At 47.5% G+C, this 4690-nt stretch overlaps 1 protein-coding gene and 1 long non-coding RNA gene across 6 annotated transcripts in view; one reads left to right on the top strand and one right to left on the bottom strand.

Moving 5' to 3' along the window:
• The window catches only part of GNAL (G protein subunit alpha L), a 196422-nt gene that overhangs the window by 4697 nt on the left and 187035 nt on the right, over positions 1-4690 (bottom strand). For all 5 annotated transcript variants that reach the window (NM_182978.4, NM_001261443.2, NM_001142339.3 and 2 more), the window contains one exon: positions 4301-4368. In NM_182978.4, coding sequence (NP_892023.1) covers positions 4301-4368 — 68 coding nt within the window. The remainder of the gene's footprint in view (positions 1-4300; positions 4369-4690) is intronic.
• Positions 2355-4503, top strand: LOC124904252 (uncharacterized). Its single transcript, XR_007066298.1, has 2 exons — positions 2355-2683; positions 3190-4503. It is a non-coding gene; the product is annotated as an uncharacterized LOC124904252 (long non-coding RNA).

Here is a 4690-nt window from a genome sequence, read left to right as displayed (position 1 = left end):
CTGCAAGAGAGAGCGTGTGCACTAGCCCTGCGCGGCCCCAGCATGTACTCTGGGGAAGGACTAGGCCACGCTGAGCAGGTGCTGGAGGCTTTGGTGACAGTGGCCTGCTTGTTTTGCATGGGAGCACTTAGAGGCAGGAATGGTCTCAATGCAAGCATCGGCCGAGGACCCAGATAACCTCACCCTTATCATTGCCCCCAGGAGGCTGAAGCAGCACGGATAGGTCAGAGAAAGCCCCGGCAGGCAAGTCAAGGGAGGAGCTTCCAAAAAGGAAGGTCTGAACAGAGTTTTCTGTGACAATGGGAATGTCCACTATCTGCCCTGCCAATATGATAGTCGCTATCTAGCTGATACCACCAAGGGGCTGATTTCTAATTAGCTAATTTTATTTTGTTTGTTTATTTATATATTTTTGAGACTGAGTCTAGCTCTGTTGCCCAGGCTGGAGTGCAGTGGTGCAGTCTTGGCTCACTGCAACCTCCACCTCCCAGGTTCAAGGGATTCTCCTGCCTCAGCCTCTCAAGTGGCTGAGATTACAGGCGTCCATCACCGTGCCCACGCCTGGCTAATTTTTGTATTTTTAGTAGAGACGGGGTGTCACCATGTTGGCCAGGCTGGTCTCAAACTCCTGACCTCAAGTGATCCGCCCACCTCGGCCTCCCAAAGTGCTGGGATTATAGGCATGAGCCACTGTGCCCCACCTAATTAGCTTGTTTGTTTTTTTGTTTGTTTGAGATGGAGTCTCGCTGTGTCCCCCAGGCTGGAGTGCAGTGGTGCCATCTCGGCTCACTGCAACCTCTGCCTCCCGGGTTCAAGCAATTCTCCTGCCTCAGCCTCCTGAGTAGCTGGGATTACAGGCGTGCGCCACCACGCCTGGCTACTTTTTGTATTTTTAGTAGAGACGGGGTTTCACCATGTTGGTCAGGCTGGTCTTGAACTCCTGACCTCATGATCCGCCTGCCTCGGCCTCCCAAAGTGCTGGGATTACAGGCGTGAGCCACCGCGCCCGGCCAGCTAGTTTTAATTAAATGTCCATATGTGCCCAGTGGTTCTGTACTGGACGGTGCAGCGGCCCGGTGGCGGCCTCCACACAGGGGCAGTTTAGCATCTGCTAAGCAGGGTGTCCCCTGGTTATCGGGGGAACGTTTGCTGCCTTCTGGGAGAAAAGTGATCTGTTATCAAGTACCTGAGAAACAGGGTTAGACATTACGAATCATGGTTTGTGGGGACCACCTCAGTGATGTGCTAATGTGCACTATGAAGCTAAGTGCAGTGGGTGTGGGGACAGGCTGTTAGGGCCAAATTGTGTTCCCTGAAGTTGTGTGGAATCCCTGACGACTGGCACCTCAGATGTGACTATATTTGGAGATAAGGCCTTTACAGAGGCAATTACGGTAAAATGAGGTCATTAGGGTGGGCCCTAATGCAATATGACTGGTGTCCTAGAGAGAAGAGGAAACCAGGAGGATGCAGCCATGTGCGAGGGAAGACCCCGCACCTTGATTTCAGACTTCCAGCCTCCAGAGCTGTGAGAAATACATTTCTGCTGTTTAAGACACTCAGCCTCTGCGGCACTTTGTTATGGCAGCCCGGGCAGACTTAGACAGAGGTCCTGTGGAAGCTCACCTTCTTCCTTGGTGCCACGAGAATCCCTGGGCCTCCTCCTCATCCCCTCCACTCCTTTTTCGATCCTGGGAAACAGCCTTTAGAGAGCTGCTTGGACCACAGAAAGGGTATCCTAAAGATGTCATGAGGTATGAAACTCCTCACGGGGATAGACCTATTTTAGCAATAGTCAGGCTTCTCTTGAGCATTAAAAAAAAAACTTATGGACACTAAAATGAGTAGGTTATATATATATATTTTTAATATATATATATTTTATTATACTGTAAGTTCTAGGATACATGTGCACAACGTGCAGGTTTGTTACATATGTATACATGTGCCATGTTGGTGTGCTGCACCCATTAACTCGTCATTTACATTAGGTGTATCTCCTAATGCTATCCCTCCCCACTCCTCCAACCAGTTATATATCTTTTTAATCCCAAAGCACCAGGTGAGGTATTTGGCACATACACAGTAAGTGTGTAGTGAATGGATGAAAAATAGGCTTTTGGCTGGGTGCAGTGGCTCACACCTGTAATCCCAGCACTTTGGGAGGTGGAGGCAGGAGGATCACTTGAGGCGAGGAGTTCGAGACCAGCCTGGCCAACATAGCAAGGCTGTATCTCTATAAAATTTAAAAATTAGCCGGGTGCGGTGGTGTGTGCCTGTAGTCCCAGCTACTCAGGAGGCTGAGGCAGGAGGGTTGCTTGAGCCCAGGAGTTGGAGGCTGCAGTGAGCTACGATCTTGCCACTGCACTCCAGGCAGCCTGGGTGACAGTGTGAAGCAATGTCCCAAATAAACAAACTAAAAAAGGCTTTCTTCTGTAATAGTGTGACTATTTGTCCCTGTCTAGAGCTTTAAAATTAAGGGAATGGAGTCATTACAAAGGTCGTTGCTTCAAATAGTTTTGTTTTTGTTTTTATTTTGAGATGGAGTGTTGCTCTGTCACCCAGGTTGGGGTGCAGTGGCACAATCATAGCTCACTGCCACCTCAAATTCCTAGGCTCAAGGGATCCTCCCACCTCAGCCTCCTGAGTAGCTGGGACTACACGCCTGTGCCACCATACCCAGGTACGTTTTAAAATTTTTTGTAGAGATGAGGTCTCGATATGTTGTCTAGCTGATCTCGAACTTCTGGCCTCAGGTGATCCACCTGCCTTGGCCTCCCAAAGTGTTGGGATTACATCCATGAGCAACTGCATCCGGCCTGGATGTTTCTAATCTTCATTTAAATGCCCAACATATGCATGCTTAATTAACATTTAGTTCTCATTAGAACAGCATTTTCTTGTGTCTTTATGTGCTATGGTCTTACAAAATGCTCCTTAAAAAAGGGATCCCTTGAGCTATTACAAACTAAATTCCCTTATTGAAGAGATTTGCAATGCACATTAATTGGCTTAAGTAAAGGCTCTCTTGCTGTATTTAACATAGCATGTCCCAGATTTATTCAGCTGCAGAAGCTCTCTGGGTATTGCCATGCACTTACGGCCATGCACTTCTGGGGGAACTCTTGTCCTCTGAACTCACCCTGGGGCCTTGATTTCTCCTCATTGTTACTTTCTAACTCACTGTAGGATTCAAGAGTCATCCCACAGGGGTGTGCCGGGAAAAGGGTGGTGAAAGGCCAGGCTGGAGTGCCGGTCCCCGTGGAAAGGCCCCACAGCCGAGGATCAGCCCTACTGCTACCTGGACTAAGATCTTGTCCACACGTGTTAAGTGCACTTGGAGTACTACCGGGAACATCGCCCTTGGGAATGCCTTGGCATGTAATAGTTTGAAGCGAGTAAAAACTCACAGCTAGCTATACGCTGTAGGTTATTTCAAAGAAAATCATATAGACAGATAAAGCATATGTGGCAAATTTTTGCCAATTGGTCAATTTGGGTAAAGACTATATGGGAGTTTTGTTTGTTTTGTTTGAGACAGAGTCTCGCTCTGTCGGCCAGGCTGGAGTGCAGTGGTGTGGTCTCGGCTCACCGCAACCTCCGCCTCCTGGGTTTCAGCAATTCTCCTGCCTCAGCCTCCAGAGTAGCTGGGATTACAGGCGCATGCCACCACACCCAGCTAATTTTTTGTATTTTTAGTAGAGATGGGGTTTCACCATGTTGGCCAGGCTAGTCTCGAACTCCTGACCTCAGGTGATCCATCTGCCTCAGCCTCCCAAAGTGCTGGGATGACAGGCATGAGCCACCGCACCCGGCCTGAGTATATGGGAGTTATTTGTACAAATCTTCTGCCTCATATGTAAGTTTGAAATAATCTCAAAAAGCTGAAGAAAAAAAAGTAAATATCTGAATTTGAGCACATCCATTTTTACATAAACCATCAGCCTGTTAGTGCTTTTGGATGGAGGAAGAGTATGGGTGCTTAGACTCTGCTGAAGGACGCTGTCCTTTTTGGAAAATACAACAAGTGAATGAAGTCTAGCCCATCCAAGTGCCATTCCCTGGAACGCTGTGTTCTCACCCAGGCTCTGCTGGTTGGAAGCTGTGTGACCTTGGGTGAGAAATCTAACCTCTCTGAACCTCGGTGTGCTCAGCTGTGAAATTAAAGTAACATACCCTTTGTCATCGCTCGTAATGTTAAGGAAGATTAAATGAGATCATCAAGGAGTAATTTGCATATTGTAAGAAACAAAAGATTAAGAAGGGAGGTAGAAAAACAAAGGTTAACAAAATTGCTTACCAAAAACAGGTCCCGGATAAAGAACTTGGCTCTTGTAACTTTGGGATCTTCTCCTGCATCTGGTGTTGCTGTAGAAATGACAAATGGAACTTTATTTAAGCAACATGAAACAAAGATACAACTCTACGAAAACACAGAAGGAATTTCAACGTTAGACTGCTGTATATTCCCAGCATTAAAATACATGTACAGCAAGGCAAAAACAAACATGTACTTTTTTTTTTAAGAGACGGAGTCTCACTCTCTTGCCCAGGCTGGAGTGCAGTGGCATGATCTCGGCTCACTGCAACCTCCACCTCCCCGGTTCAAGTGATTCTCCCACCTCAGCCTCCCTACTAGCTGGAATTACGGGCACCCGCCATCACAACTGGCTAATTTTTGTAGAGACAG

Source organism: Homo sapiens, chromosome 18 (genome assembly GCF_000001405.40).
Source record: "Homo sapiens chromosome 18, GRCh38.p14 Primary Assembly".
Classification (NCBI taxonomy): Eukaryota; Metazoa; Chordata; class Mammalia; order Primates; family Hominidae; genus Homo; species Homo sapiens.
Note: the sequence above shows the minus strand (reverse complement) of the source record. Positions and strands in the feature narration are given on the sequence as shown.